This window comes from Homo sapiens, chromosome 1 (genome assembly GCF_000001405.40).
Source record: "Homo sapiens chromosome 1, GRCh38.p14 Primary Assembly".
Taxonomy (NCBI): domain Eukaryota; kingdom Metazoa; phylum Chordata; class Mammalia; order Primates; family Hominidae; genus Homo; species Homo sapiens.
In genome coordinates this window covers 242,359,755-242,385,579 of record NC_000001.11, presented here as the reverse complement: position 1 = coordinate 242,385,579, position 25,825 = coordinate 242,359,755, and the positions used below count along the sequence as shown (strand labels likewise).

The window sequence follows — 25,825 nt, the reverse complement described above, 5'->3', positions numbered from 1 at the left end:
TTTGAGAGAGGGAAGTGGGACTAGGGAGCCATCGCAATCATGGAGGCTGCGAAGGCCCCAAGCTCTGGGAGCCCATGCTATTTATTGGTAATCCAACAAAGAAACAGGTGGTGAGAATGTGGAGGTGGAAAGGGCAGGTGCATGATCCATAGCTGTGAGTTTAGCATTTATGAGGCACATGTACTTGAGATAATGGTAATACAATCGATCTAGGAGCCTAGGAGGGCTAGAAGCAAGGAGCCAGCAAGTCTAGACACATTCCAGAGGACATTATGCAAGCCCTGCCTCAGTTTCCCTCCCAACACTCAGCTTTTCCCCAACATTTTAGAATAAGGAATTGGTGTAATAATGATACTCAGTAATGAAAATTTTCATTTTTCTTTTCTTCCCTTTGTTTTTTGATTATCACTGGACTTACAGATTTTTAATTTATTTACTGTTTATAGTGACTTATAGTCATTAAGTATTCCTTTTGCTACTCAAAGTGTCCCGAATTTGGTTGGTGATTTTAAACTGATTCTTGGATCCTTTTGACATGTTCCAGTGGTTGTTGATAGCTTCCTTGCTTTTTGGCACAAAAGAATATCTCAGGCTCACCTGGTACTTTTCCTTCCTCCGACTCAGAATTCGCCATGTGTCCTACTGATGAATATTTATTTCCCAAGATATTACTACTAGCAAGAATCCCATATGAACAATTTTTTGCATGTGTTGTTTCTTTTAGTGAAGGTATATCTTCAAGGTAGATTTCCAGAGAGAGAGTACTGCTTCATCAAAAGGTAATTCAAATTTTTTATTTTCATCCTGGAGATTCTTTTAAGAAGAAAAATGATGTTAAGGAGAAATAGGTGGTAACCCAATCACACCAAGAGAACTGGCTATCCAAACAAATGAGATCGTATCACATTTCACAAAACGCTTGCTACAGTTTGCGTAGATTGTTTGTATCCAAGGCAGAAATCCTGGAGACCATGCTGAAGTGTAAATGAATAAGACGAAGCGTCATTGTGGCAATGTTAATTCACTTGGAAGGCATATCCCAAAGGAAGACCAAGGAATTGGATTTAGCCAGTGGATACAATTCTTTAATGTTCTGGTGTTGGATGAAGCAGAAATTTTTGGACACGAAATTTGATGTGACTATGAATACCATTCTAAAATTTTTGCCAAAGCAGAGAGAATACATCTTTCACCAGCCCCTCAGAACTCAGGAAGTGGAAAAGCTGGGATCCAGTCTGGATCCCTGTGAGGGGAAGTGGCTGTAGCCAGCAACACATGGAAACTCCCAGCCACCTGTAGTTTCTTTCACCTTTGTTACCCAGTATGTACAGAAGAGAATGTAATTTAATGGTGCGTTTTCTTCTAACTCAGAGCCAGGAAAATCATCTGGTTATCAATCAGTCATTGGAACTGGTTGGAATATTGTGGAAAGACTCTGGTGATCCTGAGAAGATTATAAAGATAACAAGAAACACAAACACAAATTCTGCAAATTGCAAAGTGGAATCTTAAAGTCCCCAGATGCAGTGGCTCAGCCGTTGCCGAAGTCAGCGGGATTTTGCAGCGGATTCCTCTAGCAATGCAAGTGCTCTTGTGTTGGGACTCTGTGTCAGGCAGCCTGAGGTGACAGTGGAAGCCAAGTGCTTGGATTTTTACCTTCCAGAAGTACATACACCAGTTTCCTTGTATTTTAACAAACAAGCAAACAAAAACAGTACATGGAAGAAACCTCAGGAAAATGCAGTGGGTCTTTTCCAAAGTCCTGCCAGTCCAGAGCTGTGTTTGAAAGGCGAAAGATTTTTGTGTCATATGCTTAAGATTATGCAAAGCCTGAATGCAGCCTCGTCTTCAAATTAAAGAATCTTGATTTTTCTAGTCTTGGTGAGATTTTGCCCTTCTAAGGATGCCCAAAATGCTAGGACTAAGGGGAAAGTAGTCTGCAGATTTTGTATTTATAAAAACTGACACAGCCAGCTTTCATTTAAAGATAAAATTAGACAAAAGCTTAGGCAGAAGCTTCTGCTACTGCAAAGAAAAGAAAAAATTTAACAGAAAATGAGGGAGAAAGATATTTATAAAAATAAAGCATGGTCCAAGCAGAAGCTGCCACTCCCCCTAGAAAAAGGAAAAGAAGGAAAAAAAGTAAATGAAAAACAAGGAAAAAGAGAAAAGGGGTTTTGATATAAAAATGAGGACATAGACAAACTTCTTAAATATACTAAAGTCTTGAAAGTTAAAAATAAATTGAATTAATAAAGGAAACAATTTGAGATGTCATCGTTACACTTTGTATACGTGTGTCAAAATATCACACTGTTTCCCATAAAAATGTACATTGATTGTGTCAGTTAAAAATAATTATAAAAGCAAAAATAAATTTTAAAAAATGAGAAGTAATTACTAATGAGAGATGAAAAAAATTCAAGATAAAAAACGTGGGACTCTCAGAACTGAGATAGAATCGCTGATTCCATTCCAGCAGCTGCTAAGCATGAGAGAAAGGGAAAGTGCAGGAGAATGATGTAGTAGATCTACATTTGTTAGACAGCTGACATTTGTTTCTACCACAAATCAAAATTCAAGGAAGAAGCTAATTCTGTCCTGAAAGCTATCACTTTAAATCTAAGAGAAATGATTTTTACACCTGCAAATATTTTGCTAAAGACATATCAGTCCTTGAAGACATTTAACAGAAGAGATGTAAAACCTTTTTGGATATAATTAATAACCATCAATATTTATTTTGATGAAACATATATAATTAAAGCTCTCATTTTCCTGAGGGTGCTTTATACCTATTTTTAATATAAAATACTAATGTAATAAATGTCTTAACTGTTTTATATGTTTTCAATCAGGAAGGTTTCTCCTGATAATTAGTTCTCCCTACCGTTGCCAGAAAGACATTTTCCATTCATTGTTCAGTGCTTCTCCAACCTTCCTTACCACACCAGTAAAAATGCTTTTATCAAGCTCTTTCTACAATCTCCTTGAAGCCAAGCCTGTTAGGCACTTCTCTTTCTTGATTTGACAGCTTAGCAACTTGGGGCAGAGTTAAATGTTCCCTCCTGCTTGAAACACTGTATTTTCTTAGCTTCCAGGCCACCACTGTCACCTAATTACATTCCCACCTCACAGTCTCTCCTGTCTTTCTGTTCTTGGCACATCCTCCTCTGACCTACCACTCTCTGACACAGTGCTGTAGGGCTTGGCCTCAAGCTCACTTTTCATGTGTATCTCCATTCTTTCCCTTGATGATCTCTTTTAGTCCCACAATATCAAATGCCATGTTCAATGCAGCCAATGATGTCAATCTTCACCTACTTACTTGGCATGGCCCATTGGATATTAACAGGAATCTCATATAAAACTTCCAAAATACAACCCTCGATAACTTTCACCTCATTCCAAACCTCTTCTATGTTCAGTTTTTTGTTTTGTTTTTTTTTTTGCTGTCAAAGTCTCCGCTATCAGTTGCCTGAGTCAAACCCCGGGAATCACCCACTGTTTCTCCTTTCCCTCTCACCCACCCCAAACAGCCAATGCGTCGGCTACCTCTCCAGTTCTAACTCCAAGACAAATTTTGGATTCTGTCACTTACTTTTATCTCTTAAGTCGTTTGTCTCTTTTCTGAACTGGTGAATAGGTGGACTCCTAGCTGTTCTTCTGGATTCTACTCTCGTCCTTCTCAAGTCTATTCTCTGCCAACAGCCAGAGCAATAGATCTGAAAAGTTTAAGCACCCTTCCTATTTTCCTCCCCTAACACTTGTTGGAGGCACCCGTGGGTTTGGAGTTAAGTGGGGAAGCTGTTTGAGGGAGGCAATAGTCTAGCAGGTTGGAAGATTGATTATATATAGGGGAATTGAACAAATATATACAAATATTAAATATACTGGGAGCCAGGTTTCTTACTATCAGTGAAGAGAATTTTTACAAAAATAAAAAGGAGAAGTGAAAAATGAACTTTGGATGTGAACTGGAATTTGAGATGGTGGGAACCCATGGTTTTAAAGTTCTTCAACTTTTATTTTAAGTTCCAGGGTACATGTCCAGGATGTGCAGGTTTGTTACATGGGTAAATGTGTGCCCTGTGATGGCTTGCTGTACAGATCAACCATCACCTAGGTATTAAGCTCAGCATTCTTTAGCTATTCCTGCCTCCTTCCCCCTCCCTCACCCCCAACCACCTATAGGCCCTAGTGTGTGTTGTTTCCCTCCCTGTGTCCATGTATCGTTCAGCTCCCACTTATAAGTGAGAACATGCGGTGTTTGGTTTTCTTTTCCTGAGTTAGTTTGCCAAGGATAATGGCCTCCAGCTCCATTCATATCCCTCCAAAGGACATGATCTTGTTCCTTTTTATGACTGCATAATATTCCATGGGGCATATGTGCAACATTTTCTTTATCCAGTCTATCATTGATGGGCATTTGGATTGATTCCATGTCTTTGCTATTGTGAATAGTGCTGCAGTGAACATATGCATGCATGTGTCTTTATAATAGAATGATTTATATTCCTTTGAGTATATACCCAGTAATGGGATTGCTGGGTCAAATGGTATTTCTGGTTCTAGATCTTTGAGGAATTGTCACACTGTCTTCCGCAATGGTTGAACTAATTTATATTCCCATCAACAGTGTAAAAGTGTTCCTTTTTCCATGCAACCTCACCAGCATCTGTTGTTTCTTGACTTTTTAATAATCGCCATTCTGACTAACATGAGATGACATCTCATTGTGGTTTTGATTTGCATTTCTCTAATGATCAGTGATGTTGAGCTTATTTTCATATTTGGCCACATGAATGTCTTCTTTTGAGAAGTGTCTGTTCATGCCCTTTGCCCACTTTTTAATGGAGTTGTTTTTTTTTCTCTTCTTTCTTGCAAATTTAAGTTTCTTATAGACTCTGGATATTAGCCCTTTGTCAAATGGATAGATTACAAAAATTTTCTTCCATTTTGTAGGTTGTCTGGAACTCATGGTTATTAATATACATAGATAGATAAATGTCAAAATAAATGCATGATATGTGCGTTTATTTCCTAGCTTTGTGCTTTGAGAGGGTTTGGGAGAAGCAACACCCCAAATAACATTGAGCATTCTTAGTACTTCCATCTTGGTTTCTAAATAATATTTTCCATTACAGAAAACACAGGAATCCTTAGAGGGAAGACTGTTTCTAGGGTTGCAGCAGTGATAGTATGAGGTGTGCCTGGAACACCTTGTCGTGCCATAAAGTAACACAATAGCTATGCGGTGTTGTTGAAAGGAATAACCTTTCCACTGAAATACTCCAAAGGCAGAAAAGAGCACATTGTTACTCCCAGGAGCTTCCCATTGTAAGTGAGAAATTTTGTAGTTGTCTCGTGTGTTGTCTAACCTTCATATTATAATTTTACTGTCACCATATTATGAAAAGTGAAGAATTTCCCTAAATGTTAGCTCTCTTTCATAGTTTGCCTAGAAATGTCATCCCATTGGTTTGCCATAGAACCCCCAAATGCCCTGGTATTCTAAAGTGTCCTCATGAAAATCACAGATAATACACTTGTTCTTAGGCTAAAGGCCAAGAAGCAATAGCCACAGATAATAAATGAAGTATGTTGTATAATCTTATTAATACCCATTAATATGTTAGTGTGGATCCATTTGTGTGGGTTTTGTTGAGAACTGAAGAAAAGCTGGGGCTGTAAAAGGTAAACTGGGTCATAGAATAAAAGCAGATGCTTGGAGCAATAAGTAAAGTGTCTCAGCCTCTGAACATAACTTTTTGCATAAATATATTGGGAGGACAGTAAAAAGTGGATTGGGACGTATACTCTCCCTGAACTTAGGGGAAGTAATATAACTGATAAAAGAGGTCAACCTGTCAGAAAAAGAAATAGCCACTGCAAAAAATGGAAACTGCATGTGTTTCTGTTTGATCTAAGACAGCGTAAAACTCAAAGTTTTTTTTTTTAAAGTAGTAAACAAAAAGCAATGAAGAGGGCTCTGCTGTAACTACTGTCGATTGTATGCCCATAAAACTTTTCCTGGATGCTATTGTGCTCAAGGTTCATGTGAAGATTTGCACATTTTATGTTTCTTGGAACACAGTTTTTCCCTTCTTCCTTAGATCTGATATGTTAGCAATGGCTGGTGGTGCCCCCATTCCCAAATTTATACACATGGCTTTATTTGCACAAACCTTTGACATTAGGCAGGGTGAAACCAGGTACGTGCAGAGAAGAATAGGCCAAGAGGGTAAGGAGTGGACAACCAAGGTCCTGGTGTGCTCTAGCATGTGAGCCATCTGAAGGGTAGCTCAGTAGATTATAACTAAGAACATAGATTTTACCTGGGTACGCAAGTCTCTGAATGTGGGTGGCCTCAGTAAACACCATAGACAGAATGGCAAACTCCCTGTTACATTTAAGTTGAGTGGAAGCCTCGTTACTCCATGTCTGCCACTGCTGGACAGATATATTAAGCTAGTTGCTTCCTAGGCAGGAGAAGCAGAAGTACCATCTAAAATGGTAAGTTTTGCCTATTGGAATGTGGTGGAAAAGTTCTGAAGTGTGAAAGACTAGGAATGAGAGGAGAGGGAACCAGGGGCTCAGAGAAAGGCTTTGGATTATTTAGGGAGAGACCTAAGTAGGAAGGAAAAGCTGATAAAGTTCAAACCTTCCAGTTGTTGGTTGTTTTCCTTTTTTCTTCTCTCTCTTTTTTTTAACGTATTTTTTATTGTTTTATTTTTATTTTTGAGAGTCTCACTCTGTCACCCAGATTGGAGTGCAGTGGTGTGATCTCTGCTCACTGCAACCTCCACCTCCCAGGTTCAAGTGATTCTCATGTCTCAGTCTCCTGAGTAGCTGGGATTACAGGCATGCACCAACACACCCAGCTAATTTTTGTATTTTTTGTAGAGACAGGGTTTTGTCGTGCTGGCCAGGCTGATCTTGAACACTTGGCCTCAAGTGATTGACCTGCCTCAGCCTACCAAAGTGCTGGGATTACAGGTGCAAGCCACCATGCCTGGATGGTTTTTTTAATTGTTTTTTATTGTGGTAAAATATGTATAACATAAAATTTACCATTTTAACCATTTTAAGTGTACAGTTCAGTAGTATTAAGTACATTCACGTTGTTGTGCTGTCATTGCCACCATCCATCCACAGAACTCTTTTCATCTTGCAGACCTGAAATTCTATACCCATTAAGCAATTGCTCCCCATTCCTCCTTTTTCCCTAGCCCCTGGTAATCACTGTTCTACTTTTTTCTCTTTGAATTTGGCTACACTAAGTACCTCGTGTAAGTGGAAATCATACATTATCCTTTTGTGTCAGGATTATTTCACTTAGCGTAATGTTTTCAAGGTTCACTCGTTGTGGCATGTGTTAGAATTTCCTTCTCTTTTAAGGCAGAATAATATTTTGTCCTATGTGCTTATCACATTTTGTCGATCCATTCATCTCCTAATTTGAGTTGTTTCTACATTTTGGCTGTTGCAAATAATGCTGCTATGAACATTGTTGTACATTTCTCTGTTTGAGTCCCTGCTTTCCATTCTTTTTGATGTATACCTAAAAGTGGAATTACTGGATCATAAGGTGATCTTATCTTAAATTTTTCTGAGAAACCACCACACTATCTTTCACAGTGGTTGCAACATTTTACATTCCCACCAACAATGTATAGGGTTCCGATTTCTCCACCTCCTTACTAATATTTGTTATTTTCCGTTTTTTGTATACTGGCTGTCCTAATAGTGTGAAGTATCTAATTGTGGTTTTGATTTGCATTTTTCTATAGTGATGTTGAACATCTTTTCATGTGCTTATTAATCATTTGTGTATTTTCTTTGGAGAAATGTCCATTGAACTCCTTTGCTCATTTTTAAATTGAGTTGTTTGTATTTTTTGTTGTTTGTTTTATTTATTTATTTATTTACCTGCTTTTTTCCCCCATGAGCTGTACATGTTTGGGATATCAACCTTCCTATGTGAGGTTGTACTGGGACCAGGGTCATGTCTCTATCTAGAGTATGAAATCGTATTGCTTAGACTGAGTGGCATGGCGTCCAACCTCAGAGGCTTTTGTTGGAAGAAGCTGTGTTTACTATTAAAGAATTAAAGAAATGACAGATGCCACCAGTGAGGAGGAAACAAAAGAAGACACCAAGGTCCCCAGTCCCAAGCGGAAGTTAGAAGAACCAGTTTTGGAGTTCAGGTCTCCCTGAGGAGCAATCACTCAACCACTGAAAAAGCTGAAAATCAATGATTTTAAGGTTCACAAGTGTGCCGTGTGTGGCTTCACCACTGAAAACCTGCTGCAGTTCCACGAACACGTCCCTCAGCACAAATCGGATGGTTCTTCCTACCAGTGCCGGGAGTGTGGCCTCTGCTACACGTCTCACGTCTCTCTCTCCAGACACCTCTTCATCGTACACAAGTTAAAGGAACCTCAGCCAGTGTCCAAGCAAAATGGGGCTGGGGAAGATAACCAACAGGAGAACAAACCCAGCCACGAGGATGACTCCCCTGATGGCACCGTGTCAGACAGAAAGTGCAAAGTGTGCGCAAAAACTTTTGAAACTGAAGCTGCCTCAAATACTCACATGCGGATACACGGCATGGCCTTCATCAAATCCAAAAGGATGAGCTCAGCCGAGAAATAGCCACAGATGATCCATGAGGAAAATCCCTGTCCACATTGGAATAAAAAAGACATTTTTGTTACAAAAAGTTTGCAGTGGGATAATAGAATTAACAGTACTGTCTAGGCTGTTGCAATATATTCTCTTTCAACGTACCTTCCTTCACCTCGTCGTATATATCCTCGATAAGTATTAAAACAGTATTTGCGTTTAAAAGAGTTTGTATATATTTAAATGAACAACTTTTTATACTCTTTGTTACATGTTTGTATCAGTATTTAGTGGAAAACCATTTGAGTTGTTTTGGGTTAGAATTTTTCTTTTTGTACTGTTTCTTTAAAACAGAGTTCTTAGTAACAAGGGCAGTTCCTGAATTCAAATAAACCATTTTGTATGTTTGGATTTTGAATGGGTTAACTAATTACAGGCTAAAATAATGCCTTTTTTAGTGTTTTTAATTGTTAGAATTCACTACATAAATAGTAAGTAATTGTGGGTCTCAAAAACACTAGGAACTTTTAAGTGTCTCAGCACTTCCTCGATGTGCCTGCCCTCAGGAAGTGAGTTCACATTTGAGACAACTGCACTCCAGTGTGGGCGTGCCTTTGTCTTCAGGCCACGCCGAAGGGTGTTTAAAGCAGTCTTGCAGGTTGCTCGTTTCCCAGCCGTGGATAAAAACTGAAGCCAGGAATCTAATAAGGAAGGCTGATTTCCTCAGTTCCATTTTGAGGAATGGGGAAGGCTATTCTAAAGAAAAAAATGGGACTTGTTTTCTCAGCAGACCTGCAAGGCTGGCTTTAAGAGCACAAGGAGGGAAAGTAACGAAAGGGCTGGACTACTATAAAAGTTGCAAATACGTAGTTAGACCAATAGATTTATATAATCAGGTTTTTGTCATGTAATTTATTAAATATTACAGAAACACAACTAAGAATATCAAGTATTTCTCTGGCTCTTGACAGAAAAAAATCAGTTGACTTAACCCTTTGCTGTCAAAAGAGTTGGCGTTTCCTGTTCTGGGTGCTGCTGCCAAATGTTCTGGTACTTAGAGTTGGGATGTGCAACTTCAACCACCGACTTATCAATGCAGCCGCCTGTGTATTGCAATTGGCCGTTACCTTAAGCACTGAGCCACCCGGGTTTAGTTCAGCCATTTCAAGAAGTATATTTAATGTTGGTAGTTCTGCTTTATTAAAATGCAACAGAGATACTCTTCTGGCCCTTCCGTTTATAGTTCTCTGAGAGAGTTCTATTTTTTGGTTTTGTTTTGTGTTTTCTTTTGCATTTTATATCTTGTATTTATCCCTCAACATGTTTTGTACTTATTTTTTTAAGTAAAGGAATTCTTTTGTGTATATATAGATACTTGCATGATATACTGTAGTCAACGTTCGGTTCCTCGAAAGGTCTTGCTGCTGTCAGGTGTTATGCACTCCATCCATCATAACTGCATGAAACACATTTCATTTGTAGATAAACGTGGGACATTTGGCCCTTGTAAAAAAAATTAAAGTCTCCTCTGGGAGGCAAGCAGTTATGAAATCCCAATTTGATGCCCTTGCAGAGCCAGCAGGGCTGCTCAGACCTTTCTAAAGAAAACTGGATAGCACAGCTCTTTGGGTTTGCCTGAGAAGAATGGGGGGACTTTAAAATGAGGCAGACGGCACGGCTGACTGACTGCACAGTGGCATCCAAGGTATAGCTGCCAGAATAGCACCATTCCCTCCAGATGCAGCCGTACACAAACCTCTAGCCTGTTGCCACTACCTGCAGACTCTGAGGGAGAGGCTAGGACGTGCTTGGTAGGGACAGGCTGGATGGTTACGCAGCTCGGGGATATTGACCAAAGAGAGAGGGTTAGGATAGATGAGAGCAGGGAATGACAGCCAGGTGTGCAAAATGGCATTGTAAACTGTAAAGCCACAGGGAAATAGGTGCTGGTGATTGCTGTCCCTGTGTGTAAAACTGTAGGGGCCAAGGCCCTTGACCCCTGAAGCTTTGCTGAAAAAAATCAACTCACAAAAGGCAGATTAATTAGAGAAAGACATACAAATTTATTGCATCAACACGGGAGCCCCTCAGAATGAAGACTCAAGGATATGCTGTAAATTGTCCATTTTTGGGCTTAAGTTTAACAAAGTATGAACAGTGTGTAGAAATATAATTAGACAAAAAGGGTAAGATCTAATGCTAATAGATGGAGAGAGGAAACCCAGCAAGGCTTGTCTGTCTAGATTCTTCTTGGCCTCTCTGTGTAACGTTTCTTCCTTCTGGGTGTGGGGCAGGGCTGTCTCTGGAAAGGGGTCTTAACACCCACATAATTTCTTTATGGCCAGTTTTTACACAGAAAGGCAAAGGGGAACGTTATAGTAATATTTTTAGGTTTCATGGCTGGCTTTAGGTTCTGGTTTCTTTAGTGTTCTGGTTTCTGTGACAAGCCCTGGGGGAGAATGGTATTGAGAGATAGGCGAGCAGGTGAAGGTCAAAGAAAAATGTTTGCTTCTCTGAGGGCTTCATTTAGAGATATTGTTTTCTGAGCCACAAGAAAACCTTGGTGATGAAGGAAAATGTCAGCCTCTCCGATCAATGGAGGAACTGAAAAAGCATTTCTCCCAGGAAAGAGGAAGAACGCATATGTAAACCATGCCTACCGTTTTCCTTTTCCTGGTTCTGTGATCTTCTAATAACTTATTCTGTGTTTTAGGAGTTCAGGTGGTTTGTGTTGCTTTTGAGGGCATAATAAATATGTCGTGGTACAGGAGCACAAAGAATTGACATGCAATTGCTATCAATGACTGAAAGAGAGGAAGATGTATGCACAGCCTGACAGCAACTCCACAGACCTTTCTTTCACCTTGTGACCGTAGTAAACCTGCACTCTCCTTGTAGATAGTGATGGCTGTATGAACAGCGACCAGAGAAAACTTTGTGGCTCAATGTGGTGCTTTGTTCCGACATTCTTTTTTTTTGTTTTTATTATACTTTAAGTTCTAGGGTACATGTGCACAACATGCAGGTTTGTTACATACGTATACATGTGCCATGTTGGTGTGCTGCACACATTAACTCGTCATTTACATTATATCTCCTATATTATATATATATATCTCCTAATGCTATCCCTCTCACCTCCCCCCACTGCACAACAGGCCCTGGTGTGTGATGTTCCCCTTCTTGTGTCCAAGTGTTCTCATTGTTCAATTCCCACCTATGAGTGAGAACGTGCGGTGTTTGGTTTTCTGTCCTTGCGATAGTTTGCTGAGAATGATGATTTCCAGTTTCATCCATGTCCCTACAAAGGACACGAACTCATCCTTTTTTATGGCTGCATAGTATTCCATGGTGTATATGTGCCACGTTTTCTTAATCCAGTCTATCATTGATGGACATTTCGGTTGGTTCCAGGTCTCTGCTATTGTGAATAGCGCCACAATAAACATACGTGAGCATGTGTCTTTATAGCAGCATGATTTAAAATCCTTTGGGTATATACCCAGTAATGGGATTGCTGGGTCAAATGGTATTTCTAGTTCTAGATCCTTGAGGAATCGCCACACTGTCTTCCACAATGGTTGAACTAGTTTACAGTCCTACCAACAGTGTAAAAGTGTTCCTGTTTCTCCACATCCTCTCCAGCACCTGTTGTTTCCTGACTTTTTAATGATCGCCATTCTAACTGGTATGAGATGGTATCTCATTGTGGTTTTGATTTGCGTTTCTCTGATAGCCAGTGATGATGAGCATTTTTTCACGTGTCTGTTGGCTGCATAAATGTCTTCTTTGAGAAGTGTCTGTTCATCAAAAACTGTCCTTCGCCCACTTTTTGATGGGGTTGTTGTTTTTTTCTTGTAAATTTGTTTGAGTTCTTTGTAGATTATGGATATTAGCCCTTTGTCCGATGAGTAGATTGCAAAAATTTTCTCCCATTCTGTAGTTTGCCTGTTCACTCTGATGGTAGTTTCTTTTGCTGTGCAGAAGCTCTTTAGTTTAATTAGATCCCATTTGTCAATTCTGGCTTTTGTTGCCGTTGCTTTTGGTGTTTTAGACATGAAGTCCTTGCCCATGCCTATGTCCTGAATGGTATTGCCTAGGTTTTCTTCTAGGGTTTTTATGGTTTTAGGTCTGACATTTAAGTCTTTAATCCATCTTGAATTAATTTTTGTATAAGGTGTAAGGAAGGGATCCAGTTTCAGCTTTCTACATATGGCTAGCCAGTTTTCCCAGCACCATTTATTAAATCGGGAATCCTTTCCCCATTTCTTGTTTTTGTCAGGTTTGTCAAAGATCAGATGGTTGTACATGTGTGGTAATATTTCTGAGGGCTCTGTTCTGTTTGATTGGTCTATATCTCTGTTTTGGTACCAGTGCCATGCTGTTTTGGTTACTGTAATCTTGTAGTATAGTTTGAAGTCAGGTAGCGTGATGCCTCCAGCTTTGTTCTTTTGGCTTAGGATTGACTTGGCAATGCGGGCTCTTTTTTGGTTCCATATGAACTTTAAAGTAATTTTTTCCAATTCTGTGAAGAAAGTCATTGGTAGCTTGATGGGGATGGCATTGAATCTGTAAATTACCTTGGGCAGTATGGCCATTTTCACGATATTGATTCTTCCTATCCATGAGACATTCTTACACTCTACCTGGCTCCACAAAGCAGGGCTTTTAGAGATCATCCTGCTGGTGTGTGGAAATAGCTGTGCTATGGGCATGGCTTATGATGGGCTTTTACCTGAGTCTTTGAAAAAACAGATAAATTTAAAAAATAATAATGATGAAGAGAAGGGAAATTTAGGAATATACAGGAGCTGCAGGCTACATTTTTATTCCTTCAGTGATGTAAGGTCCTCTACATCTTCAATGAGAACACACGGACACAGGGAGGGGAACATCACACACCAGGGCCTGTCAGGGCGGGGGTGTGGGGAGGGTGGTAGGAGGGATAGCATTAGGAGAAATACTTAATATAGATGACGGGTTGATGAGTGCAGCAAAGCAGCATGACACATATATACCTATGTAGCAAACCTGCACGTTCTGCACATGTACCCCAGAACTTAAAGTATAATTAAAAAAAAAAACTTTTAAAAAAAGCAGGCAAAAAACTAAAATGTTTTTCTTCCTCTCTTCCTTCTACCACTGAGGTCACTCTATATTATAAGATTGCATTTCATTATCTATTGCCTCAGGATGTCATCATTTGTATTTCTGTAGCCCCCTTGTAATCAGAGAAGAGGGATCATTTCTTCTGCAGGGAAAGCCCCATGCAAGCTCTGCCCTGGATTGGGCATTGAATCAAGAGGAGGTTTGGGTGTCAGGGAGCATTGGGAGATTTGAAAGAAAACAAGAGCAATGGTGGGTTTGGAAAGTGGTGAAGGGATAAATAAAGGAGGTCCAGAGAGAGAGAGAGATTGAAAGAAGGAGGGGGATAAGGGATGGAGAAAGGAGTTAGGGCAGAGGTGATAGGGAAAGGTGTTTTGATGATTCAGTACGCTTCTGTTCATCACATGTCTTCCCATGTTAATAGGAACTTCCTAAAAATTAGTGCTGTCTTGTTAAGTAGTGAGCTTTTGGTAGCTTGTAGCACCCAAGCAGAGAAGGAAGATCTCATCAGTCAGGAGTGCAGAAGCTCAGGTGTCTGTACTGACGGCAAAGTTAGATTAGATGGTTTAAAGGTTCTCTCTCACCCTAACTCTAAGCCTCTCTCAGTGCACTCTTATAAAAGTGTGTGCGTGTGTGTGTTCCTTCTAAAATAAGGAGAAACTGAACACTAGTGCTACTAAAGATAAATTTTGCTTCTTCATTACTTGCCAGTTACACCCGAAGTCAATCCTAACTTTGTCTTTGCTTTTTAATGAGCTCAAAATAAAGATTGTTGGGTTTTGTCAGCAGTGTTTTTGCCCCTTAACTGGATGAAATACCAACCTTTGCAGTGAACAGAAAACAGGTAATTTAGAAAAAGAAACATAAAACAATCATAACTGACAGACTTCAGAATAAATCTCCTATCACAGAAAGTTGAAAGAACTTGGACTTATTTTGATATATTGCAAGAGTCAAAGCCTTTTCAACTTGTTAAAAACAGAGTGCAGAATACAGATGGCCAAAATAGCCCTCACCTTATCAAAGACCAGTTGGCATTTTGTCATTTTTTTCACTTTTATCTATAATATAGGGGAGGGGGATAGAGAACATGAAAGCGTAATTTTTAGCTGTTAAGTATTGACTCTTCCTATTGACATTGACAGTGTGTTCTTGTGCATTCACTAACATTCAAAATAGCTTATTTCACTTTATAGTGAGTACAGAGGGAATCCCTAATTCTCTACTGCAGGAATGAGGTGTGCATGGAAGGAAGGGTGGGAGACACCAGAACTGGTCTACTCAAGTGGAACTCTTCTGTGAAATGGGTCACAAACACAGCCATTAATGCCCCCTCCCCTGGCCCCTGGCTCAGCCCTCTGTACTATTAGAATGGCACATCTATTCTGTCTGCATCTCTCTCTCTCTGCATCTCTCTTTCCCCTCACCCCTCACCCGTAAGGTCCTTAAGGGCAGAGACTCTCTTAAGAGTGAGGCCACATTTCTGAATTGTCAGTATTATAAGCGCAGTGCATCATAACAAGTGTTAGATGCCCACAGAGTATTTTAAATGGGATGAAACACATTTTTCTTCTCTTGCCTCATGCCACCAGTGGCTGCATGTAGAAAGCAAGGAACTAAATAAGTTCATTTACTTCCCAAGGGTCTCTTCCACCCTAGCCCTGGGTGTGCTTGACTTCAAGTCACAGACTATCACTGCAGACCGAGAGTGCCTCTTCTGTGCCATCTGTCTTTTGCAAACTTAATGGCTCTTTTTGTTTGTTGGTGTGTCAGTTCACCAATCATTGGCAAAGAAACTAATACACAACTGAGTCACCAGTGTTCTACTCCCAGAAGTTTTCTTATCCAGAAAAACATAAAATGGAGGGTTGAAGTAGATGATCTCTGGGTATTCTCTGTGTTCGGCAGTTCTGTCATTCTCTAGTTGTCCCCTGTAATTTGTGAAACTTGGGATAGTATCTACCTCTGCTTAGTAATTGGAAGAACTTTAAGTAAATGCAGACCACCCGGGGTGGTGGTGGTTAGTGCTCAGCTGTGTCTTAGGAAAATTGAACTATGGATAAATAACTTGCCTTGAGATGGTATAGTCCAAGAATAGACAGCTCTCTTTCTCATTGCTATAAGAGACAGTTGAGATTCAGGGCTAATGTAAAATATCCAGATTATACAGAAAAATGCAGAGCAAACCACGAACATCTTTTACATGACAACTCCTCTGACCTCACAAAACCTCTCTCTTCCTGATAGATGACCACTGTCAATAGTTTTATGTGATTCCATTGAATCTTTGTTTATTTATAAGCATACGCACATTTTAGTGGCTTCACAATATTCCATAGAATCACTGTATTGTAGGAATCCTCTATTGATTATTTTTCCCATTTTTTTCACAAATAATGCTGCAGTGACCATCCTTGTTGTTATATCTTTATGCACATATGTAAACACTTCTGTAAAATTAAATATTGGAAGTAGAATTTCTGAGTCAAAATATGTACATTTAAAATTCTGATAAAAACTGCCAAATTGCCATGTAAGCAAGCTCTGCCAGTTTGCATTTTTAACCCAATGCCTATTTCCCCAACCTCCACCCATTACAGTTCTCAATATTTTGAATTGTTTCCAAACTCATGCAAAAAAGATGTACTTGCTTGGAAGACATATATTTTTCACTATTAAAGTTTTCCTTTCTATATTTCTTTGAATATTGACAGTCCTACATTCTCAATGTTCTTTCATTGAGGAACTTTGATCTGATGGATGCTGGCTTTTCTGGACTGATTCTCTGGTTGTCTTGAGTTTTATCCTTTATACCCATATTTGTTAGGACTATTGAAAGAGAAACTGAGGCACATTAAATATGAAAGAGTTTATTTGAGCAAACGGTGGTGACACAGGAGATAGAAAGAAATTATTTTAGGCAGATAGTGAGGGCAAAAGAGTCCTCGGCAGAACTTCCTTTCTAACAAAAAGCAACCCAAGAAATTAATTCTCTTCTAACAAAGGGCATCCTGAAAGATGGAGCTGCAAACACAAATAAGGAAGCTGGAAGCTTGCACGGGAGAAAGCCTGCAGCTACACCAATGGAAAAGTCCTACCTGGCGGCCAGGCATGTTCACCATGGGGCTCCACCTTCCCTTTGTTGTTAGCACATGTACAGTAAGAAATGGGCAACATGGAGAAGCTCAGGCAGAGAACCCACCTGCATAATAAAAGACTGGGGTGGAGACTGTCAGAGATTCATGCCCTATGCAGATGCCACACCTGGTCCTAACTGGTTTTTCATGCCCTATGTAGATCAGACACCACCTCTTTACTAGCTCATCTATAAAAACCCTGCATTTCACTGCAGATTGGCAACTCATTTTTCTGGGACCCCTCTCTGTAGCAGAGAGCTATTTTCTTTCTTTTGCCTATTAAATTTTTGCTCCTAACCTTACTCTTTGTGTCCAGGTCTTTGATCTCCATGGCTATGAGACAGTGAACGTTGAATATCACCCCAGACAATGAGGCTGCTTTATTGGTTCACGAATTGGGCAGTTCCAGAATGCAGGTGGTTCAGGGCTCTGATGAAGGGGAATGAAGGAGAAGGCTTTTATAGGGTGAATACGGGAGCAAGGCAAAGAAAATATTTGGTTGTTTACAGTGGAGCAGTAGGTTTAGTTGAATCATTCCAGCAAAAGTCCCTTGTTAGAGGTTGGCCATTTCTGACTGAATAAGCTTAAGTGTTTTGTTGTTGTTGTTGTTGTTGTTTACTGTTTACAATGAGTTGAGTTTCAGTTTGCTGATGCAGGCAGTGGAATTGCCTCAGTCTAATGGCCTTCCAATTATTTTAACAGGACTTTGTACTTTTTACCTTGCATTCTGGAAAAATTCCTTTGATTCAATCAAGAACATAAATTTACTTTCAAGTTGTATCCATTTGATATTCAGTCCATCCACTGAGGTTTATAATTCCTAAGATCTCTAACTGGTGACCTTTTCATAATAATCTCTTCTGATGTTTCACTGGGGCAACTTCTCTCATTCTCCTGAGAACTTGACTCTTATTTTCAAGGGTTCACCTGTGTCCTCTGTTGGCTTTATTTTCTCCAGAGTTTGTTTTTACTGCTGGGTTCAGTACCTCTTTCGTGATTTTGGCTTTTCTCAAATTTTTGGAGATGTTTAGTTACCTGCCCACCTCTATGTTTGCGTATTCCTATTTGCATGTCTCTGGATGAGGGTTGTGCATAGGGGTTCGTCTCCAGGTTTCATAGGAGAGACTGAGTATGCTGCTGAGATGTGAGGCATTCATGTGCTAGTAGTGCCCTTCTGGGAGTTCTCACTCTCTGAGGAAATTGCCCTATTCATTTGTATTTGTGAGTTAAAACATGTCTGTTTTGTGCTGCTCAACAGAGAGGGCAGAAGGACAGGGTAGGAGGAAAGGGATGACTGGCCCATCAGCTCCATATACAGTTTCCCAGCTCATCATTGTGCCAGTCATTCCAGAGCTCTTTCCATTTCTGTCTCTCTGTTGCCTCTAGACTTAGAGCTCTACTTACATTATAGCAGTTTGAATTTTTCTATGTGTGTCTGAGGACTCTTATCTCCTTGGTCAATCTAATTTCCACTAAATCTTTAAAATTTCTTGTCCATAGGTGGTACTCCTTTTAGTTGTCAACATTCATTATAAAATTATTATGATATTACTGTACCTGTTCTTCATTTATAAGAATTTTTTTATAAGATGGGGAGTAGAGTAGGGCTCTGTGCTCAGTTAACATTTTCATTCAAACTTAATTTCCATTCTCGGTCTTGCTATTTTAAAAAAGATGCCCTCTGTACCACATATTATATTTTGTATGCTAATATGGGCTCAGAGTGTTTTACATTTTGCATGTCTAATTTTGCAAATCAATATGTTTCTGTTATGGGAATCAATGGAAGTTTATAAGTAGTAAAAAAATAAAAATAACCAGGGTTGTAAAACACAAAAATTATTGATTTATTAGCCTTTGCTTTTTTTTAATTTATTCACTTATTCATCACTCATTTGACAAATATTTATTGAACATGTCTGCCAGGCATTATGGATCTAGGCAAGATCCTAGAACTCAAGGAGCTCAATTTAGTGAAAGAGACTAAAGGGAGAAAATGAACTAGTGCATATCCAACGCTGAATTTATTACCAGAAAAGCAAGCGTGGGTTTTGCCACTAAAGGTAATGGCAATAAATTACCAATTACAAATGGTAATTTATTAATAGTAAATGGTAATGGTAATTTGTTGCCATTATTTTTAATGGCAAAACCTGCAATCACTTTTGCACCAATCTAAATACAACTCCTTGAAAAGGAATGAATCATCTAGGTTGCTGCAGAAATCATTTTCATTACTGGTCCAGTAAAAATAATGAGAATTTCCTAAAACAAAAACATCCTTTAGTGCCATTGAGATCACTTTAGTTAGGCATGGGAAAATAAGAAAACTGTGTAACTGATGATAGATCTCTCACTTAAAGGCAAGCTGAGGTAGACAGAGACCTTTTGCAATTTTTATGAATAATTTGAAGAGGAAATTGAAAAATTATCTTCCCTGTTGAGGTCATGATCTTTGCAGACCCCATATTCCTCTTTGCACAGAGAAGACATTAAATACATATTTGCTAAATAAATGAATGTAGAGGCATGGTTTCTTCAGTAGTGTATCATAAAACAGTAGGACAAAAAATATATTTAAGTCTTTGTCTGCTTCTTGTATCAATATAATGCTGACCTCATAGAATGAATTGGGAAGCTTTTTTCATTTTTATATGGTGGGATATCTTGAATAGAATTGGCATTATTTATTTCTCAAATGTTTGACAGAACTCACTAATGATGCCACCTAAACCTGGAGTTTTTACTGTGGGAAGGTTTTTAACTAAAAATTCATTTACTTTAATTGATATAAGGGTATTTGGGTTATCTATCTTTTTTGAATGAGCTTTAGTAATTTTTCTTTTTTGGCTGGTGGCGGTAGAATTTATTCGAATGTGTCTTAATACAGGCACTGGGGGCTTGCCCATGGTGCGCTTGATATATAAAGCCTAGACATTCTGCCAATTTTTCTTGAGTAATGACACCAGGAAGTTGACAGTCAGGTGAATGTTATACACAAGTTTATTGTCTGTAACATTTACATGGCCAACAGTCACAGCCAGACACAGCACCTTCGTCATCTGGAACTTGATTGTGGACTTCACCTCATCCACTTCATTTTCATTGTGTATCAGCAGGGAAGGGAACGTGCCAGCCTTATGTAGGCCTGGGCGAGGACTTACGGGATCTGCTTGATCAGAGACTCTGATGCCAAAAGAGCATCCTACTTCTTGGCCAGCTTCTTGACCAGTTTCTTATTCTGGTTGAATTTTTTCAGCACCTCGATGTCCATGTGTGGGATATCCACAGCCTTGGCCTCATTACAGTGCTGCTGTTTCTCCAGGACACACACAGAACTTAGAGCGGGGAGTGGACTTAAGCCTGATGGTGCCCGAGAAGCATTTGTCCTGGAGGTCATAGTTCATCAAACTTATCTGCAACTCCAGTCTCCAAAAACTTGGGGCACTTGCACTCGTCCCCATGCAGGGCCTTCCTGCACCACCTCATACAGGGTGTCCTGAGAGACTTTACTGCTCATGGCTCCTCATGCCATGGTAATTGGAAAAGGAGCTTCAGTAACTTTTATCTTACAAAAATTTGTTCATTTTATCTGCACTGATAAATTTCTTATCGTGAATTTGTTCATAACATCCCCTTATTATTTTATTATTTTTTATTTTGTGTAGGATCTGCTGTGATGTCCTGTTTCTCATAGAGATATTTGGAATTTGTATCTTCTCTTTTTTTTTTTTCCTTATCTGTATTGCTAAAAGTTGATCCATTTTTATCGACATCTTCAAAGAATCAGAATTCTGATTCACTGATTTTTGTGGGCATGGTTTTGTTTTCTGTTTTCTCTTTTATTGAATTCTGCTCTTTATTATTTCTATTCCCTTGTCTACTTGAGTTTAATTTGTTCTTTTTCCTTTTTACATTTTTAAAGTATACATTTATCACTTAAAGCCCTTCTCTTCTCTTCTCTTCTTTTCTTTTTCCTTTCTTTTCTTTATTGAGACAGAGTCTTGCTCTATCAACCAGGCTGGAGTGCAGTGGCAAGATCTTGGCTCACTGCAACCTCCGCCTCCTGGGTTTAAACGATTCTCATGCCTCAACCTCCCAAGTGGTTGGGATTACAGGTGCATGCCACCACACTCAGCTAATTTTGTATTTTTAATAGAGATGGGGCTTCACCATGTTGGCCAGGCTGGTCTCGAACCCCTGGCCTCAAGTGATCCGCCCACCCCGGCCTCCCAAAGTGCTGGGATTACAGATGTGAGCCACTGCTCCTGGCTTTCTAAAATTCTTTTAACTTGATTGAGACTTGTTTTAAAGCCTAGAATAGATCCATTTTGGTAAATGGTCTATGTGCTCTTAAATAAAGGAATTCTATTTATTTAGTGGAGTGCTCCATAAATGTGAGTTCAGTGAAGCTGGTTGATAGTATTTTTTAGTTCCTCTATGTACATATTGATATGTTATTTACTTGTTCTATCCACTAATGAGAAAGGGGTTTCAAAGTCACTAAATAACTGAAGACGTTAGAATTTCTCTTCAAGTTCTGTTAGCTTTTGCTTTATGTTTTTTGAAGCTCTCATTAGGTCATTAAGTGCATAAAAGTTTAGTTCTGTTCTGTCCTCTTGATGAATTTACCCCTTTACCATTGTAAAATTACTCTATTACATCTGTCTCAAATTTTGATACTTTTGGCCATTATATTTTTCAAATATTTTTTCTGTCTCTTCCTCTCCTTCAGAGACTGCAAGGACATATATATTAGATTTTTTGTGTTGTCACTGATATTCTGTTCAGTCTACTGTTTTTTATTTGTCTTTTCCTGGAGTTCATTAATCTTTTCGCATGTTGTGTCTAATCTGCTGTTAATCCCATTCAGTGTATGTATTATTTCTAGAATTTAGATGTGTGTCTTTTTTTATATCCTTTAAAATCTCTCTGTAGCATACTTAGCTTCTCAAACATATAGAATATAGTTACAGTATAGTTACAGTATTTGTTTTAATATCTGTGCCTACTAATCTATGTCATTTCTGAGTTGACTTCAATTGCTTAATTATTTTTCTCAGTGTGGATCATAGTTTCCTGTTTCTTGGCATGTCTGGTAGATATTACTAGATGCCAGAGGTTGTGAATTTGATTTTATTCTGTGCTGGATATTATCATATTTTAAAAAATATTCTTTCCTTTTGTTATGAGGTATAGTTACTACTTACTGGTGAACAATTTGGGTTTTTTGAGGCTTTTTTTTTTTTTTTTTAAAGAGACAGGGTCTCACCATGTTGCCCAGGCTGGAGTGCAGTGGCTGTTCGCAGGCTACTGTGCCCAAATTTAATGCTAGCTTTTTATGATTTTTTAATTTTTTTCCTTAAGGAGAGACCAAAGCAGCCATGAGTCTAGGGCTAATTGTTTTCTGTTTTATTTTCCAGACAGTACCTTTCTAATTACTCTATTTCTCATGTGTTACAAGATATGTGTCCACTCTGAGTGGAACGCCAACTCTTTCTGGCCTTGTGTGTGGGTTGGCGATTATTCCATCTGCTCCTTCCAGGCAGGTGTGCCCCAGGTGACAGGTAGCTCCTTACAGCTGTGTGCCAATCAGCACTCAGCTGAAGACTCAAGGAGACCTGAAGATCTTCACCGCTTCTCTATGAGGATTTTTCTCTCTCTGGTTTTCTGCCCTGCCAACTCTAGCCTTTCTAAAATCCCGAGTCTTTCTCCTCAACTTAGGGATTGTGGTGGACTCTTTCGAGGTCCTGCTTTTCTGTGCCATGGCAAGGAAGCTCACTCAGTGTGGGTCTGGTCCTCAGCAGGATGCTCTGGGCTGGTGATGTACATTTGCAGGTTACCAATATGTACAGCGAGGGGTGCCTTGGGAGTAAATTAAAGTCCCTCAGGAAAGGGGTACAGAGTGAGAAGAGAAAATCCTAAGATAGAGCCCTAAGGAACATGGAAATATATGTAGGAAGTGAAGTGATAAGTCTATTATAAGGATTTTAGAGAAATGCCCCTAAGCCATTTGTAGTCTAGAGTTTCTGATATGATTCCAGAGTGTAGTCATTATCCAGAAATTTGATAAGTCACCAGATGAGATTACTCTGGGTCTACTGGGTGACGTGCTTCCTTTGGGAACATCACTAGGAGCTCAAGATAACAGCACATCTAGAATCATAGGAAAGGCCTATAGGGCCAGGAATACCATATCTCCACAGATGAAGGCAGTGTTCAACCTTAGTTTCTACACTAATAGACCACCATGGAAATTAACAAAAGCTGGTAATAATAACAATAACTATAGTGAAAATTAAGTAGAAAATGAAGAAATCAAAAAGAAAATGAAAAAGGGAAAAGTCTGCATCTATAAAACAGACAGATTTTGGATTTCTAGACCTAAATTAAATACCCAGACTGTCTCCTACTGTTTGGTTCACCTTGGACAGCTTAATGGCCAAATGTCTTTGAGTCCCAGTTTGCATATTTTTCATATAGGGAATAATTGTATTAGAACTTTCAGCTTTGTAGATTTTAAGAACTGTACACATAAAAAGTGTTCTTTTTAAGACTTGACCATGATTTTGTTTTAAAAAAATTGTCATGGTAAATAAATGAAAAATAATATGAATAATTTTAATTTTTGGATAATTTTTGTACATTTATCTTTTTTACCTCTAGGGTCATAGTTTCCTAAAGGTAAATTCCATTTTTTTCCTCTTTAAAATTTTTTTATACCAAAAAAAAAAAAAAATGAGATGAGGTCTCAGTATGTTGGCCAGGGTAGTCTTGAATTCTTGGCCTCAAGCAATCCTCCCACCTCGGCCTCCCAAAGTGCTAGGACTACAGGCATGAGCCACCACACCCAGCCTAGGTGCAAATTCCTTTTAAGAGCTCGTTCAATGATATAAAAGCTTAGCTTGAAAATTTCAAGTGTAATACTTTCTCTAGTTAGAGATAATATATCTCTATTTCTGTATTTGAGTTAAAACATGTTTGTTAAGGATATGACATTCAAATATTTTGAATGTTAACATGTTTTAATATTTATTTCTTGACCAAGAAAGCAATTCTTTTCATATGCATGTAAACTGCTGTGAAAGTACAGATTGGCTGATGCTGATGCTATGTAATAGCATTTTAAATTTTGTTTTGTCTTGTGAAGTTTAGATGATAAACTTGTTTATGGATTCTCCTTAAAACTTGCTTCCCTTGATTAAATTCAATAAAAACAGAAAAGTGTAGTTGGAATTGATTTCTGGAATTATACCTGTTAAGGATTTGAAAATTAATGTCTCTTGGTTCCCTGAAGTTTGATATTATTTATGTGGCTCTTATTCTATCATTTGAACGTAAGCTTTCACTTTTGATGAGGTGGAAATTAAATGAGGCTAAGGAAAGTAGTGGCATGACCTTATATTGTTATAGTACATTGTTCCAAGGAGATATTTAAAAATGAATATCAGAGTCTGAATTTTTCTTCTTGGGTAAATGAAAATGGAAATAACTAGCTAAACTGCTTCTTTTAATGGAATTTAATAATATAAAATTAAACTAATAGAAGTTAAAATAAATTTATGAGAGTTATGAAAGTACTTCCAAGAGCATACAAAATAGCTAGAGTTCTTACTTATTTATTGTTATTTATTACAGCATTCAGAATAAAGAGAAACAAATGATTGATATTGTCTTTGTTAGGATTCATTCATTGAATGCCCACTATGTACCTGGTATGGTATTTTCAAGCTGCTCTATTCAGAATTATTATTGAGGTAACTAATTATATTTTCCTGGTTAGAGTATCTTCTGGACTAGATTAATGTGAATATTATTACATTACTTTAAACCTTGCTGAAAGCTTTTTGTTTGTTTGTTTCCATTTATAATGTCTAAGGAAACTGGATAAAATGAAAAAAGTTTAATCACTTTTTTCCATTGTAAAATGAGTGGCTTCTTGAAAGTTTTTTTGGTTAAAGGAGATGATGATATGACCACGTATTAGAATATTATGCAAAAATTTAGAACTATGCTATGAAAGAACATTTAAGGACACTAACATACCATTGAGTGCAAAAAGCAGAATATAAACCTTAATTACAGCATGATACAATTTTATCGTTGTTAGATAGGCAGATGGAATATAGGAAAGAACAAGAATGAAATATAAATGGCAGTTAGGTCTCAGTAGGATTATGAGTGGTTTTCTTTCTTCATTATGAGGGCTTTTTTCAACACAGTTAAAAGCAAACATTTTCTGATTATAGAAACAATGAATATCATTAAAATAAATAAAAACTGATATCCAGTAGAAAACATTTTCAAAATTTAAAGATATTATTTAAAATTATTTTTTAAGCCACCACAAAGAAAATAAATTACAAAATTTATGTTTTTTTTCATTAGGGTGTATTTATCATGATCCTTTTAATGTTCACAAATGAACTACTAAAGGCAGGTAAATTTGATGGATGAACATGTACTAAGTAGGATTTATTTTAGATGATACTTTAGGGCCCCGGTTCAAAAGTGTGGCCCAGGGATCAGCAGCAGCAACATCTCTTGAAAACTTGTTACAAGTACATACTTGGGGCCCAGCAATGTATGTTTTTACAAGTGATTTTGATCCATGCTTAAATTTGGGAAATATTGCTTTACGATTTTGAGTTATGAGACTGAGCTAGAACAATTTCTCAAAAATTTTATTCTAGAAAATTTCCATCTAACATTTGCCTTCTCTCTTTCTGTCTTATTTCTCCCTATTTCTCTCTGCCTCTCTGTTACACATAACTTAGTTTTTGTTGAATGTTTATATATTTACCTTGTTTCTCCAAAATATATGAGGCATGTAAATACAGGTGTTAAAAATGCAACAATATACTAACAATAGCAAAGACTCATTTACTGCTATCTATCTTCTATGTATTGCTTTAAGTACTTTACATATAGTATGTCATTTAACTTAATTATTA

The 25,825-nt window shown here is 38.3% G+C and overlaps 1 protein-coding gene and 3 pseudogenes across 7 annotated transcripts in view, besides 1 other annotated feature; 3 read left to right on the top strand and 1 right to left on the bottom strand.

The window, feature by feature from the left end:
* PLD5 (phospholipase D family member 5) overlaps positions 1–25,825 on the top strand; it is a 447,561-nt gene that overhangs the window by 144,967 nt on the left and 276,769 nt on the right. The window contains exon 1 of one of the 7 annotated variants that reach the window (XM_024453867.2): positions 24,562–24,628. The exons of the other annotated variants lie outside the window; for them this stretch is intronic. Coding sequence (XP_024309635.1) covers positions 24,569–24,628 — 60 coding nt within the window. The 5' untranslated portion in view covers positions 24,562–24,568. Of the gene's footprint in view, positions 1–24,561; positions 24,629–25,825 lie in introns of those variants that run through there. 7 annotated transcript variants of the gene reach the window in all.
* On the top strand, positions 784–2,235 carry LOC100421344 (DEAD-box helicase 55 pseudogene; annotated as a pseudogene).
* Positions 6,881–7,060: a silencer, noted in NCBI's record as "fragment chr1:242541822-242542001 (GRCh37/hg19 assembly coordinates)". NCBI's record gives its function as "represses an EF-1alpha promoter that drives an FKBP-Casp9 reporter gene in an ReSE screen in phorbol 12-myristate 13-acetate-treated (for megakaryocytic differentiation) K562 erythroleukemia cells {active_cell/tissue: K562(+PMA)}" and the evidence as "EXISTENCE:reporter gene assay evidence [ECO:0000049][PMID:32094911]".
* Positions 8,113–8,855, top strand: LOC100419801 (zinc finger protein 532 pseudogene; annotated as a pseudogene).
* Positions 19,732–20,420, bottom strand: RPL10AP5 (ribosomal protein L10a pseudogene 5; annotated as a pseudogene).